Here is a 16,952-nt window from a genome sequence, read left to right on the forward strand (position 1 = left end):
CCTTAATGTCACATGTGTTGTGCTTAAGGAGGGATACATCTAATTAACAGTTAGACATATGGGTGGGAGCTCCAAATAAACATGTGACCTGAAAATTCAGATTTGAGAATCCGTGTAGTTAATGCCACAGAAACAAATGAGATCACTTGAGGGGTGTGCTTTGAGCAACTATCACTGTGTAGCAAAGTACCCTAAAACCTGGTACCTTAAAATGATAAGAATCATTTCTTTTGCTCAAATATGTGTAAGCTCATCTCTGCTTCATGTGGCATTAGTAGGCTATTTCAACTGGAGGCTGAAGATTCTACTTTACAGATGGCTCATACACATGGCTAATAAGCTGTTGCTGACTATTAGGAGCTCAGCCAGGGCTGTGGTCTAAGGGCCTTGATTCTCCTTTTTATGGGCTTCTCCTCAGGCTGCTTAGTCTAACAACAAGGTGGGGGTTTTCAAGAATGAGCAAATAAAGAGAGCAAGGCAGAGGCACATGACATTTTGTGAAACATAGCCATTAATGATATATGAAGTCATATATCATCACCTTAGCCTCATTCTGTTGGTCAAGACAGTTACAAAAGCCCAACCAGGTTCAGGTAGAGAAGTCAGACTCCACCATCCCACAGGTACAGTGATAGGGTGACATGATAAGGGGAGCTTATGGGATGGGAGGTACTGTTGGACTTTGTGAGTCTTGGAGAAAGGAGTGAACCTCTTTTGCATGTGGGAGGGATTACTGCAGCGGTAGTCTGCCCCCTGGCTAAAACAACTCATATCACTTCCATGTGTAAAATACACACCTCTCTCCAAGACTCCTAAAGCCTTATCCCATCAAGCTTTGATTGAGTCCTGCACAAAGTTTAATACATCATCTACATTTAGTTCCAGGTGCAGGTAAGTCCTTTGCATACAGCTCCTTGAAAACTATTCCTCTCAATCTGAAGACCTGTGAACTAAAGAGACAGATCGGCCACCATGGTGGCTCACGCCTGTAATCCCAGCACTTTGGGAGGCTGAGGCAGGCGGATCACGAGGTCAGGAGATCGAGACCATCCTGGCTAACATGGTGAAACCCCATTTCTACTAAAAATGAAAAAAAATTAGCCGGGTGTGGTGGTGGGCACCTGTAGTTCCAGCTACTCGGGAGGCTGAGGCAGGAGAATGGCTTGAACCTGAGAGGTGGAGCTTGCAGTGAGCCGAGATCGCTCCGCTGCACTCCAGCCTGGGTGACAGCACGAGACTCCATCTCAAAAAAAAAAAAAAGAGACAGATCATTTTCCCCAATACATACACAACAGACAATGATGGGACAGGCATAGTATAACCACTATATACACTCCTAGTTGAAGCGGGGAAAAATGGAGGCACACGATAGTCACTGGTCTATAGCAAGTCTGAGGTCCATTCAGGCATATGTTGCCAGTTCCTTGACTAGGGCTCAGTCCTGTTCCCTGAACTTGAGACTCTTGGTTACAAAGTCTGGGCCTAGGTCTGCCCTCCAACTCGTCTTTTTTTTTTTTTTTTTTTAAAGCCTGTGATTGCAGCTGAGTAGATTTCTTAGCCTTTTCCTGCCCCTCAAAATTTGGAGTATAAAGTACATATATCATTTTGTGCTATTTCTGTCTCTTACCATACAAGTTGGTATAATTCTTTTAAAATCTTGTGGGTTTCCTAATTATGACTTTTTTATGATTTTATGATTTTTTTTTTTTTTGAGACAGAGTCTCACTCTGTTGCCTGGCTGGAGTACAGTGGCATGATTACAGCTCACTACAGCCTTGACTTCCCCAGGCTCAGGTGATCCTCCCACCACCTCAGCCTCCCAAGTAGCTGGGACTACAGGTGCATACCATCATACCCAGCTAATTTTTTATGTTTTTGTAGAGATGGGGGTCTTCATATTTTGCTCAGGCTGGTCTCAAACTCCTGACCTCAAGCGATCCACCCAACTCAGCCTCCCAAAGTGCCGGGATTATAGGCGGGAACCACTGCACGCACCCTAATTATGAAGTTATAATCCATTCCATTTGACAAAAAACAAAATCACAAATGTCCTTGATAGGCAGATAAAGTCATAGGGTAGTATCATAAAAATTATAACTAAATAAAATATGTAATATAAATAGAAATTAGTATAAGAGTAGATATAAAAGTGACAGAAACATTCTTGCATTGGGGTACAACTACCAATATTTTTCTACAATTCATGTATTACTATTAAATAACTAAAATTACTTAAAAATTAACTTTCAAAAATGATATAATAAACAGGATTATAAAAGACTATTATGAGCAATTATATGCCAATAAATTTGATAACTTAGAAGAAATAAATTCTTAGAGACATACAACCTACCAAGACTGAATCATTAATAGAAAATCTGAACAGATCTAGAACTAGTAAGAAAATTAAATCAGTAATCAAAAACCTCCCAACAAAGAAAAGTCCAGGACCAGATAGCTTCAATGGAAAATCCAACTAAACATTTAAAGAAATAATGCCAATCCTTCTTAACCTCTTCCAAAAATTCAAAGAGGTGAGAATATTTCCAAACTCATTTTATGAGGCCAGCATTATCCTGATACTAAAGTCAAAGATACTGCAAGAAAAGGAAACTACAGAGCAGTATGAGCAATATCCCTAATGAATATTAAGGCAAAAATCCTCAACAAAAACTACCAAACTGGGCTGGGAGCAGTGGCTCAAGCCTATAATCCCAGCACTTTGGGAGGCTGAGGCGGGCGGATTGCCTGAGCTCAGGAGTTCGAGACCAGCCTGGGCAACATGGTGAAACCCCATTTCTACTAAAATACAAAAAATTAGCCAGGGCATGGCAGCATGCACCTGTAATCCCAGCTACTCAGAAGGCTGAAGCAGGAGAATCACTTGAACCCAGGAGGCAGAGGTTGCAGTGAGCCGAGATTGCGCCACTGCACTCCAGCCTGGGCAACGGAGCAAGACTCTGTCTCAAAAAAAAAAAAAAAAAAAACCTACCAAACTGAATTCAGCAGCACATTAAAAGGACCACTCATCATGAGCAAGAGGGATTTATGCTTGCAATGCAAGGATGGTTTGACACACAGAAACTAATTAATGTAATACTGTACACCAAATTGACAGAACAAAGGACAAAAATCACATGGTCATTTCGATTGATGCAGGAAAAGCATTTGAAAATATTCAACACAATTTCATGATAAAAACTCACAATAAACTAGGAACAGAAATAAATTACCTCAAGATATTAAACAGCATAAATGAAAAGCCCAGCCAATATCATATTCAATGGTTAAAAAACTGTGAACTTTCCCTCTAAGACCATGAACAAGTCAAGGATACCCACTCTTGACACTTTTATTCAACATAGAACTGAAAGTCCTAGCCACACCAATTAGGTAAGGAAAACAAATAAATGCATCAAAATTGGAAAAGAAGAAGTAAAATTATCTCTGTTCACAGGTAATAGGATCTTATATGTGCAAAACCCTAAAGATCACACACACACACACACACACACACACACACACTCACACACACCAGAAAACCATAAGAACCATTTTGCAGGATACAAAATCAGCATACAAAAATCAGTTGCATTTCTATACACTAATAATGAGCAATCCAAAAATAAAATTAAGAAAATAATCCCATTTACAATAGCATTGAAAAAGAATAAAATACTTTGGAATAAATTGAACAAAGGAGGTAAAAGACCCTTATACTGAAAACTACAAAACATTGCTGAGAGAAAATTTAAAAGACATAAATAAATGGAAAGACATTCTGTGTTCATGGATTAGAAGACTTAATAATATTATTAAAATGTCTATACTACCCAAAGCAATCTACAGATTCAATGCAATCCCTATTAAAATCCCAATGGTATTTTTTGCAGAAATAGAAAAAAAATCCTAAAATTCATATGGAATCTCAAGGGATTTCAGATAGCCCAGACAATCTTGAGAAAGAAGTACAAAGCTAGAGGCCTCACACTTTCTGATTTCAAAATATATTACAAAGCTACAGTAATCAAAATAGCCTAGTACTGGCATAAAAACAGACACATAGACCAATGGAACAAAATAGAGAGCCCACAAATAAACCTTCATGTATATGTTCAAATGATCTTTGACAAGGATGTCAAAACCACTCAGTAAAGAAAGGACAGTCTCTTCAATAGATGGTGCTGGGAAAACTGGATATCCACATGCAAAAGAATGAAAATGGACCCTTATCTCACAGCATATACAAAAGTTAACTCATAATGGATTAAATACCTAAACATAAGACCTGAAAGTAAAACTCCTAAAAGAAAACATAGGGGGAAAAGTTTCATGACATTGAAATGGGCAACAATTTCTTGGATATGACAACAAAAGCACAAACAACAAAAGCAAAAATAGACAAACTAAAACTTCTAATAGAGTAAAAAGACAACTGAATGAGAGAAAATGTCTGCAAAACATATATGAGATAAAGAGTTAACATACAGAACATACAGAGAACCCCCATAATTCAATAACAAAACAAATAACTCAATTTTTTAAATGGACAAAAGACTTGAATAGACATTTTTCCAAAGAAGATACACAAATGGCCAAGCATATGAGACGATACTCAACATCACTAATCATCGGGAAAATAAAACTCGAAACCACCATGAGGTATCATCTCATATCCTTTAAAATGGCCACTATCAAAAAAAAAAAAAGAAAAGAAAGAAAAGAATGACAAACGTTGGTGAAGATATGAAGAAATGAACCCTTGTGCACTGTTGGTGAGACTGTAAAATGGTGCAGGCACTATGAAAACAGTACAGTCATCCCTCAGTATCCATAAGGAATCAGTTTCTCTACACCCCTTAAATATACCAAAATCCATAAATGTTCAAGTTCTTTATATAAAAGTCATAGTATTTGCATATACCTACACGCTCCATCTTGTATACCTTAAAATCATCTCTAGATTATTTATAATATCAAATACAATGTAAATACTATGTAAATAGTTGTTATACCATAATTTAATTTTGTATTATTTTTATTGTTATATTTTTATTTTTATTGGGTTTTAATTATTTTTCATCTGCAGTTGGTTTAATCCAAGGATGCAGAATCCACAGATACAGAGGGCTGAGTATATGGAGGTTCTTCAAAAATTAAAAATGAAACTACCATATGATCCAGCAATCCCACTTCTGGGTATATTTTCAAAAGAATGAGAAAAAAGATCTCAGAGAATACCCATGTCCATTGCAGCATTACTCACCATAGCCAAGAGGTGGAAGCAACCTAAACGTCTATCAATGGATGAATGGATAAATAAAATGCGGTATATACGTCCAACGGAATATTATTCAGCCTTAAAAAAGAATAAAATCCTGACATACACTACAACATGGATGAACCTTGAGGACATTATTCTAAGTGAAATAAGCCAACTGCAAAAACAAATATGGCATAACTCAGTGTATATGTGGTATCTACAGTAATCAAACTCATACGAATGGAAAGTAGACTGGTGGTGTCAAGGACTGCGGTCAGGTAGAGGGGAGATGTGAAGTTGTGTGTTCAATGAGTATAGAGTTTCAGTCGTGCAATATGACAAAGTTCCAGAGACCTGCTGTACAACAACGTACATCAGCTAATACTGTATTATACACTTTCAAATTGTGATGAGGGTAATCTTACACGGTTTTTACAACAATGGAAAAAAAGTCTCTAAAATAACCATGTTAGGAAACACTATGCTGCACAATATTGCACACTGCCACATAAGTTCTCTAGAAATAGGAGCTAAATGAATAAATCATAACAGCATCTTTCTAATTTCCTATATAAAAGAGTAGGTTTAACTTAATTCAAGTGTCTTGAATCTGAGACAGACAGCTAGATGAACAAACAAAAAATAATGTAAAAATTTCAGAAATTATTAAAAATGTATAAACTTACCCATCTTTTAACATTTTATTAGATATTTGCACTTGAGAATTCAGATTCTCAATTGGGATTCAGATAAAAGCTTTCCTTCTATCTACAAATATAAACTGAATCCATCATGGAGAAAATCATCAGCATTCTAAAATGTCCTTGGTATTTGCCAACAGGACAATAATTGAACCATTTTCCCATCTGTGTTCACTGTTGGGAACCTTAATAATACATCTAAAACAACTCCATATCTGGCAGAATCTTACTTAACCTATTTAAGATTGAAATTCACTTAAAAATTCTATACTCAAGATTTATTTTCAGTTTGACATGATCAAAATGACACACCTCCCATCGTGAGTATAAGACATAGTTGTGTTATATATCTACAATTAGGTGTCCAAGTACCCTGTTTACCTAAAAGAAAAAAAAAGCAATAAACACACATACAAAAGCAATCTGCATCTATTTTCATATGCTTAGAAGTGAACTAATAATACATATAATTGCAATGATCAGACACAATGCCGTTTACAAAAAAGCCTGAATCCTACTTTCCATTTTTATTAGTTTATAAAAAGACTTTGTAAACATACCAAATTATTTCAGATCCTGAACCCAGAAACCCAGGCTAATTTGCAAAGCATCTTACCAAACACACAAAACCCAACCATGATTAAACCCCAAGGGCTTGTATATAGAATAATGTCTAAGATAACAGGGGGAATGAGCTTCAGTAGTACTATGAGAGAATAAGAATAAAGCAAGAAACATGAATTCAAAGTCCTATGAAGTCGGCTACTAATAAGAACCTGTAAGAAGTCAACAAATTTAGGTACCACCTTTTGGGACCTCTCTATCTCATTCCAGTTAACTATACCATCAAAGGGTATAACCCGTTAGAACAAATTTTGGTCTAAGAGGTGTTTCCTATAAAAGTGTTTGGCGTGACTCAGTTTTTTTAACCTCAAATGTATTATTTAAGAACAAAAAACAACCTCAAATACTGATATGGTCAAATGTTTAAAGAAATAAAACATAAAAGTGACCAAACCAGCTGAGGATTCTAACATCTTCCTAATTCCACCGGGGTAAGCCTTAGCCACCCGCCAATAGTCTCAAGGAATCTTTCGAGGCTTTGTCTCCTTTTCTGTACTCTGCATTCATTTTCTCTGTTCTGGTCTATGAAAGTCCACGAATCTGTGCTTCTAGGCCTCACTCTGCCAAGTATTCCTAGGCTGACATCAAGGTTTGAATTCTCAGCTTAGCTTTCCAATTTGGCTCTGATCTTCAATTCAGCCTTTCAGATCTTTCTTGGTTTTATGCTACTGGTCATTCCTACCTATTTCAGTGTCTACCGGGGCTTCTGGAGCCTCTGCCTGAATCCTATATCCAAGTTCCCTAGTTGTCTAGGAAAAAAAAGTTCAAACAAATAAAACGCTTATGCATTATTCTGTGAAAGTGTTGAAGCAAAACCTACTCCAGACTTTGATTAACAATTTAATATTCCTTTTGAGTGAACAGTGGTTAGAGCAGGGTCACCTGCATGGCACAACTCTACAAAGTACCATTGACATTGTATTTTATAAAACGTGTATTTCAAGGGGCTGTTGTTCCTACAGAATACAATATAAATGATGCCCTTAATTTTTTGCCATGTTATGCTTTCAGGTAAAACCACACTTAACTGAAGTCATTATGAAGTTTCCAAAGCTTTGGTTTTTTAATTTCAAAACTAATACTACAGGGGGGTGGAGCCAAGATGGCCAAATAGGAACAGCTCCAGTCTACAGCTCCCAGAGTGAGCGAGGCAGAAGATGAATGATTTCTCCATTTCCAACTGAGGTACAAGGTTCATCTCACTGGGGATTGTCAAACAGTGGGTGCAGGACAGTCGGTACAGCGCACCGAGCGTGACCCGAAGCAGGGTGACGCATCGCATCACCCAGGAAGTGCAAGGGGTCAGGGAATTCCCTTTCCTAGCCAAGAAAAGGGGTGACAGACGGAACCTGGAAAATTGGGTCACTCCCACCCTAACACTGCGCTTTTCCAACGGTCTTAGCAAATGGCACACAAGGAGATTATATCCCGCGCTTGAGGGCTCCGAGGGTCCTATGCCCACAGAGCCTCACTCATTGCTAGCACAGCAGTCTGAGATCAAACTGCAAGGTGGCAGCGAGGCTTGAGGAGGGGCGCCCGCCATTGCCAAGGCTTGAGTAGGTAAACAAAGCAGATGGGAAGCTCCAACTGGGTGGAGCCCACCACAGCTCAAGGAGGCCTGCCTGCCTCTGTAGACTCCACCTCTGGGGGCAGGACTTAGCCAAAGAAAAGGCAGCAAAAACCTCTGCAGACTTAAATGTCCCTGTCTGACAGGTTTGAAGAGAGCAGTGGTTCTCCCAGCACGCAGCTTGAGATCTGAGAACAGACTGCCTCCTCAAGTGGGTCCCTGACCCCCAAGTAGCCTCACTGGGAGGTACCCCCCAGTAGGGGCAGACTGACACCTCACATGGCCAGGTACTCCTCTGAGACAAAACTTCCAGAGGAACAATCAGGCAGCAACATTTGCTGTTCACCAATATTCGCTGTTCTGCAGCCTCTGCTGCTGATACCCAGGCAAACAGGGTCTGGAGTGGACCTCCAGCAAACTCCAACAGACCTGCAGCTGAGGGTCCTGACTGTTAGAAGGAAAACTAACAAACAAAAAGGACATCCACACCAAAACCCCATCTGTATATCACCATCATCAAAGACCAAAGGTAGATAAAAAACCACAAAGATGGGGAAAAAACAGAGCAGAAAAACTGGAAACCCTAAAAATCAGGGCACCTCTACTCCTCCAAAGGAACGCAGCTCCTCACCAGCAATGGAACAAAGCTGGACAGAGAATGACTTTCATGAGTTGAGAGAAGAAGGCTTCAGACGATCAAACTACTCCGAGCTAAAGAAGGAAGTTCGAAGCCATGGCAAAGAAGTTAAAAACCTTGAAAAAAGATTAGACGAATGGCTAACTAGAATAACCAATGCAGAGAAGTCCTTAAAGGACTTGATGGAGCTGAAAACTATGGCACGAGAACTACGGGACAAATGCACAAGCCTCAGTAGCTGACTCAATCAACTGGAAGAAAGGGTATCAGTGATGGAAGATCAAATGAATGAAATGAAGCGAGAAGAGAAGTTTAGAGAAAAAAGAATAAAAAGAACAAAGCATCCAAGAAATATGGGACTACGTGAAAAGACCAAATCTACGTCTGACTGGTATACCTGAAAGTGAGGGGGAGGATGGAACCAAGTTAGAAAACACTCTGCAGGATATTACCCAGGAGAACTTCCCCAGTCTAGCAAGACAGGCCAACATTCAGATTCAGGAAATACAGAGAACACCACAAACATACTCCTCGAGAAGAACAACTCCAAGACACATAATTGTCAGATTCACCAAAGTTGAAATGAAGGAAAAAATGTTAAGGGCAGCCAGAGAGAAAGGTCGGGTTACCCACAGAGGGAAGTCCATCAGACTAACAGCTGATCTCTCAGCAGAAACTCTACAAGCCAGAAGAGAGTGGGGGCCAATATTCAACATTCTTAAAGAAAAGAATTTTCAACCCAGAATTTCATATCCAGCCAAACTAAGCTTCATAAGTGAAGGAGAAATAAAATACTTTACAGACAAGCAAATGCTGAGAGATTTTGTCACCACCAGGCCTGCCCTAAAAGAGCTCCTGAAGGAAGCAATAAACATGGAAAGGAACAACCGGTACCAGCCACTGCAAAAACATTCCAAATTGTAAAGACCATCAATGCTAGGAAGAAATTGCATCAACTAACGAGCAAAATAACCAGCTAACATCATAATGACAGGATCAAATTCACACATAACAATATCAACCTTAAATGTAAATGGGCTAAATGCTCCAATTAAAACACACAGCCTGGCAAATTGGATAAAGAGTCAAGACCCATCAGTGTGCTGTATTCAGGAAGCCCATCTCATGTGCAGAGACACACATAGGCTCAAAATAAAGGGATGGAGGAAGATCTACCAAGCAAATGGAAAACAAAAAAAGGCAGGGGTTGCAATCCTAGACTCTGATAAAACAGACTTTAAACCAACAAAGATCAAAAGAGACAAAGAAGGCCATTACATAATGGTAAAGGTATCAATTCAAAAAGAAGAGCTAACTATCGTAAATATATATGCGCCCAATATAGGAGTAACCAGATTCATAAAGCAAGTTCTTAGCGACCTACAAAGAGACTTAGACTCACACACAATAATAATGGGAGACTTTAACACCCCACTGTCAACATTAGACAGATCAATAAGACAGAAAGTTAACAAGGATATCCAGGAATTGAATTCACTTCTGCACCAAGCAGACCTAATACACATCTACAGAACTCTCCACCCCAAATCAACACAATATACATTCTTTTCAGCACCACACCACACCTATTCCAAAATTGACCACATAGTTGGAAGTAAAGCACTCCTCAGCAATGTAAAAAAACAGAAATTATAACTGTCTCTCAGACCACAGTGCAATCAAACTAGAACTCAGGATTCAGAAACTCATTCAAAACCGCTCAACTACATGGAAACTGAACAACCTGCTGCTGAAGGAATACTGGGTACATAACGAAATGAAGGCAGAAATAAAGATGTCTTTGAAACCAATGAGAACAAAGACATGACATACCAGAATCTCTGGGACACATTCAAAGCAGTGTGTAGAGGGAAATTTATAGCGCTAAATGCCCACATGAGAATGCAGCAAAGATCTAAAATTGACACCCTAACATCACAATTAAAAGAACTACAGAAGCAAGAGCAAACACATTCAAAAGCTACCAGAAGGCAAGAAATAACTAAGATCAGAGCAGCAGAGCAGAACTGAAGGAGAGAGACACAAAAAACCCTTCAAAAAAATCAATGAATCCAGGAGCTGGTTTTTTGAAAAGATCAACAAAACTGATAGACCGCTAGCAAGACTAATAAAGAAGAAAAGAGAGAAGAATCAAATAGACACAATAAAAAATGATAAAGGGGATATCACCACCGATCCCACAGAAATAAAAACTACCATCAGAGAATACTATAAACACCTCTACACAAATAAACTAGAAAATCTAGAAGAAATAGATAAATTCCTCGACACGTAGACTCTCCTAAGACTAAACCAGGAAGAAGTTGAATCTCTGAATAGACCAATAACAGGCTCTGAAATTGAGGCAATAATTAATAGCTTACCAACCAAAAAATAGTCCAGGACCAGATGGATTCACAGCCGAATTCTACCAGAGGTACAAGGAGGAGCTGGTACCATTGCTTCTGAAACTATTCCAATCAATAGAAAAAGAGGGAATCCTCCCTAACTCATTTTATGAGGCCAGCATCATCCTGATACCAAAGCCTGGCAGAGACACAACAAAAAAAGAGAATTTTAGACCAGTATCCCTGATGAACATTGATGCAAAAATCCTCAATAAAATACTGGCAAACCAAATCCAGCAGCACATCAAAAAGCTTATCCACCATGATCAAGTGGGCTTCATCCCTGGGATACAAGGCTGGCTCAACATACATAAATCAATAAACGTAATCCAGCATATAAACAGAACCAACGACCAAAACCACATGATCATCTCAATAGATGCAGAAAAGGCCTTTGACAAATTTCAACAACCCTTTTTTTTTTTTTTTTTTTTTTTTCTTTTTTCTTTTTTTTGAGACGGAGTCTCGCTCTGTCGCCCAGGCCAGACTGCGGACTGCAGTGGCGCAATCTCGGCTCACTGCAAGCTCCGCTTCCCGGGTTCACGCCATTCTCCTGCCTCAGCCTCCCGAGTAGCTGGGACTACAGGCGCCCGCCACCGCGCCCGGCTAATTTTCTGTATTTTTAGTAGAGACGGGGTTTCACCTTGTTAGCCAGGATGGTCTCGATCTCCTGACCTCATGATCCACCCGCCTCGGCCTCCCAAAGTGCTGGGATTACAGGCGTGAGCCACCGCACCCGGCCTTCAACAACCCTTCATGCTAAAAACTCTCAACAACTTAGGTATTGATGGGATGTATCTCAAAATAATAAGAGCTATCTATGACAAACCCACAGCCAATATCATACTGAATGGGCAAAAACTGGAAGCATTCCCTTTGAAAACTGGCACAAGACAGGGATGCCCTCTCTCACCACTCTTATTCAACATAGTGTTGGAAGTTCTGTCCAGGGCAATCAGGAAAGAGAAGGAAATAAAGGGTATTCAATCAGGAAAAGAGGAAGTCAAATTGTCCCTGTTTGCAGATGACATGATTGTATATCTAGAAAACCCCATTGTCTCAGCCCAAAATCTCCTTAAGCTGATAGGCAACTTCAGCAAAGTCTCAGGATACAAAATCAATGTGCAAAAATCACAAGTATTCTTATACACCAAGGACAGACAAACAGAGAGCCAAATCATGAGTGAACTCCCATTCACAATTGCTTCAAAGAGAATAAAATACCTAGGAATCCAACTTACAAGGGATGTGAAGGACCTCTTCAAGGAGAACTACAAACCACTGCTCAGTGAAATAAAAGAGGATACAAACAAATGGAAGAATATTCCATGCTCATGGGTAGGAAGAATCAATATCGTGAAAATGGCCATACTGCCCAAGGTAATTTATAGATTCAATGCCAACCCCATCAAGCTACCAATGACTTTCTTCACAGAATTGGAAAAAACTACTTTAAGTTCATATGGAACCAAAAAAGAGCCCACATTGCCAAGTCAATCCTAAGTGAAAAGAACAAAGCTGGAGGCATCATGCTACCTGACTTCAAACTATACTACAAGGCTACAGTAACCAAAACAGCATGGTACTGGTACCAAAACAGAGATATAGACCAATGGAACAGAACAGAGCCCTCAGAAATAATGCCGCATATCTATAAGTATCTGATCTTTGACAAATGTGACAAAAACAAGAAATTGGGGAAAGGATTCCCTATTTAATAAATGGTGCTGGAAAAACTGGCTAGCCATATGTAGAAAGCTGAAACTGGATCCCTTCCTTATACCTTATACAAAAATTAATTCAAGATGGATTAAAGACTTAAATGTTAGACCTAAAACCATAAAAACCCTAGAAGAAAACCTAGGCAATACCATTTAGGACATGGGCATGGGCAAGGACTTCATGTCTAAAACACCAAAAGCAATGGCAACAAAAGACAAAATTGACAAATGGGATCTAATTAAACTAAAGAGCTTCTGCACAGCAAAAGAAACTACCATCAGAGTGAACAGGCAACCTACAGAATGGGAGAAAATTTTTGCAATCTACTCATCTGACAAAGGGCTAATATCCAGAATCTACAATGAACTCAAACAAATTTACAAGAGAAAAACAAACAACCCCATCAACAAGTGGGCGAAGGATATGAATAGACACTTCTCAAAAGAAGACATTTATGCAGCCAAAAGACACATGAAAAAATGCTCACCATCACTGGCCATCAGAGAAATGCAAATCAAAACCACAATGAGATACCGTCTCACATCAGTTAGAATGGCGATCATTAAAAAGTCAGGAAACAACAGGCGCTGGAGGGGATGTGAAGAAATAGGAACACTTTTACACTGTTGGTGGGACTGTAAACTAGTTCAACCATTGTGGAAGTCAGTGTGGGGATTCCTCAGGGATCTAGAACTAGAAATACCATTTGACCCAGCAATCCCATTACTGGGTATATACCCAGAGGATTATAAAACATGCTGCTATAAAGACACATGCACACGTATGTTTACTGCGGCACTATTCACAATAGCAAAGACTTGGAACCAACCCAAATGTCCAACAATGATAGACTGGATTAACAAAATGTGGCATATATACACCATGGAATACTATGCAGCCTTAAAAAATGATGAGTTCATGTCCTTTGTAGGGACATGGATGAAGCTGGAAACCATCATTCTCAGCAAAGTATTGCAAGGACAAAAAAACCAAACACCGCATGTTCTTACTTATTGACAAAAGAACACATTGACACAAGAAGGGGAACATCACACACCGGGGCCTGTTGTGGGGTGGGGGCAGCGGGGAGGGATAGCATTAGGAGATATACCTAATGTTAAATGACGAGTTAATGGGTGCAGCACACCAACATGGCACATGTATATATATGTAACAAACCTGCACGTTGTGCACATGTACCCTAAAACTTAAAGTATAATAAAAAAAACTAATATTACATAATTCCTAGTAAGCATCATAAAGTGAAATAAGATCAGAGAATCTTCCTCCTTATTATCTATCAAAGAAAACAAAAAAGAGTTTTGAAATACAGCAAAAAAAAAATTCATGAGCAGAAACTTTAGGAAAGGGCACAACTTCAAGCCAGAATGTTGTAGCAAAGAAAAAACAGATTTTTAGTAAAGCTAGGTATGAGTCCTAATCTTACCCCCGATGGTGAAGGACAAAATCCTGAGAATTCTTAATAATACTCAACTATTCGAAGAGAAGGAAGTGAACCTGGAGGGAAATAGTGAAGAACTATACAGTGAACTGTCCTTTCTCTTTCTCTCTGCTCTATGCTAGAATGGAAGATTAAAACATATTCAGAGGGTATTCTCCCAACATGAAAGGAACGAAAGACCTTTAAACTGCTTTCTTTAAAAAAAAAATTACTTGTAGTCAAAATGCAACCACAGAAAAAAGTTACTTAAAGAACTAATGGGTGCAGCACACAAACATGGCACATGTATATATATGTAACAAACCTGCATGTTGTGCACATGTACCCTAAAACTTAAAGTATAATAATAATAAAAAAATTAAAAAATGGCAGCACATAAAAAAAAAAGAACTAAGGAATGGCTGGGCGTGGTGGCTCACGCATGTAATCCCAGCACTTTGGGAGGTCCAGGCGGGCAGATCATGAGGTCAGGAGATCGAGACCATCCTGGCTAAGACAATAAAACCCCATCTCTACTAAAAAATACAAAAAAATTAGCCAGGTGTGGTGGCAGGTGCCTGTACTCCCAGCTACTCAGGAGGCCTGAGGCAGGAGAATGGCGTGAACCCAGGAGGAGGAGCTTGCAGTGAGCCGAGATCGCGCCACTGCACTCCAGCCTGGGAAACAGAGCGAGACTCCGTCTCAAGAAATAAAAAAAAAAAAAAAGAACTAAGGAATAAAGCCCATAAAATTGTGGTGGCAAGCTCTGAATCTATTTAAGTGCAGAAGCAATGCTTTTTAAGAAGAGGGAATTATGGTTACAGAACAGAATATACAGAATATAAATATCATAGACCTTGATAATGTTCAAAGAACAAAACGAACACAAATCAGAAGGGCAAGGGAGCTGAGATGGAAATAAACATATGAAGTTAATTTTCTCATCTTTCACAGGTAGGAATAAGTCAATACTATCTAAAATGGAAACAAAGTTTTAAAATATAATGATTTTAATTTCTTAATGTCTTTCAAAACCATTTTAAACACTTGAGACAATATTCCTTAAGGAGCCCTCTACTGATGAAAAACACTTATCAATAGTTCCATAATCCCTCTAGTTTCACATCAGTTTCATTTTCTTCTATTAAACTCAAATAACATTAGATATCTTTACTATAAAGTAGTACATACAATATGACATGTCCACTAATCCATTCATTCCCCTAACTCTACACATCCATATGAGTGCAAAGATCACAAGTGTGGTGGTCATCTAAATTAACTTCTGAGTAGACGGATTAAGTGACTTCTTAAAACTTTTCCTTCATACTTGGCTGCAATGTTTGGATTACTTATAATACACATGCACCACTTTTATATTTTAAAAAAGACATACTGAATGAGAATATCTACTAAAGATTTTACATGTGCTCAACACAACCCTTCAACTTTTCGGAGAGAACAGTTTGCTGATCACCATCACCTAGTGTCTCTACAACATTCTTTCAGGCTAATGGTAAGGAAACTGGAGCATCAGAAATCCTATGGTTCTAATATCTACCAACTTTTAAAATAGTGATCAAAGCATTCATAAAAGAGGTCTTTTCTTAGCCATGATGTGGTCTTTGTGATCTGTGAGTGCTCACCAAGACCCAGAGTTCATTATTACTACCACAGAATATTTTCACTTACACAATGCTCTATTTGGGTTTCAATGCAATAATATATGAAGGCATTAAAATGTCATTTAATGAACAGTCTATCTTCTATTCTACCTTTAATAAAGAATTATTCCTAAATCCCTCAAAATGAAAAAAAGGGAAAAGCTATAACTGTCATTCATCTAGTAAAACATGCATCTATAAATCAAAACTTAACAAATTTTATGTTAAAATAAGACACATACCTTTTGCAATTATACAGGCAGTAGAAAGCAAATAAAAATATAAAATAAGACACATACCAACAGAGGTGCTTTCATTGTCTTAATAAACAGGTGAATGTTCAGTGTAGTCAATGGCTGTTCCATTAGTGTTCTTCTACATTGCTGGGTCAAGTCCAAGACTAGTTTACAATGAAAAAAGTAGAGATGTGCATATTCCACATCCTCAGAGCTACAAATTAAAAATTAATTAACTTAATGAAGTTCAATATGTGATCCTTCTACCATCCAATAAGCTGTAACAATGAATTTTGTCTTAAGTCTCATGCTTTTGAATTATTATTTTGGTAAAAGCCTGAAAGAGTATAAAATTAAATGAACTTGGGCAACAAAGAAGATATAGAATATTAAAGAAAATTAACCTTAATATCTGAACAAACCACACGAGTTGTATAAACAATTTTTTTTTGCTTACCTCTTTAATATGGTAGTTTCTAAATTATAATAGGTTATAGGCAAGCCTATAACCTTTCTTCCATAAAAAGCTGTCACCTTGCGGACAATGAGATTATCTTCAAATACAGTTGCTTTTCTAGAGCTATGCTAAATGAAGCTTTGTAACGCAAATTTTCTAAATTTAATTTAAACCCAAAGCTGTTTTGAATAAACTTCAGCCAAAACATTCTAAAATAGAAACCATGTGACAG

At 38.4% G+C, this 16,952-nt stretch overlaps 1 protein-coding gene across 5 annotated transcripts in view; it reads right to left on the bottom strand.

Annotated features, from left to right (window-relative positions):
- Window positions 1–16,952, bottom strand: part of TXNDC16 (thioredoxin domain containing 16) — a 121,910-nt gene that overhangs the window by 64,318 nt on the left and 40,640 nt on the right. For all 5 annotated transcript variants that reach the window (XR_007064038.1, XR_007064037.1, NM_001160047.2 and 2 more), the window contains exon 9: window positions 16,327–16,477. Coding sequence is in view for 3 of the 5 variants with exons in the window: in NM_001160047.2 (NP_001153519.1) it covers window positions 16,327–16,477 (151 nt within the window). In the remaining 2 variants the exon portion in view is untranslated. The remainder of the gene's footprint in view (window positions 1–16,326; window positions 16,478–16,952) is intronic.

This window comes from Homo sapiens, chromosome 14 (genome assembly GCF_000001405.40).
Source record: "Homo sapiens chromosome 14, GRCh38.p14 Primary Assembly".
NCBI classification, from domain to species: Eukaryota; Metazoa; Chordata; class Mammalia; order Primates; family Hominidae; genus Homo; species Homo sapiens.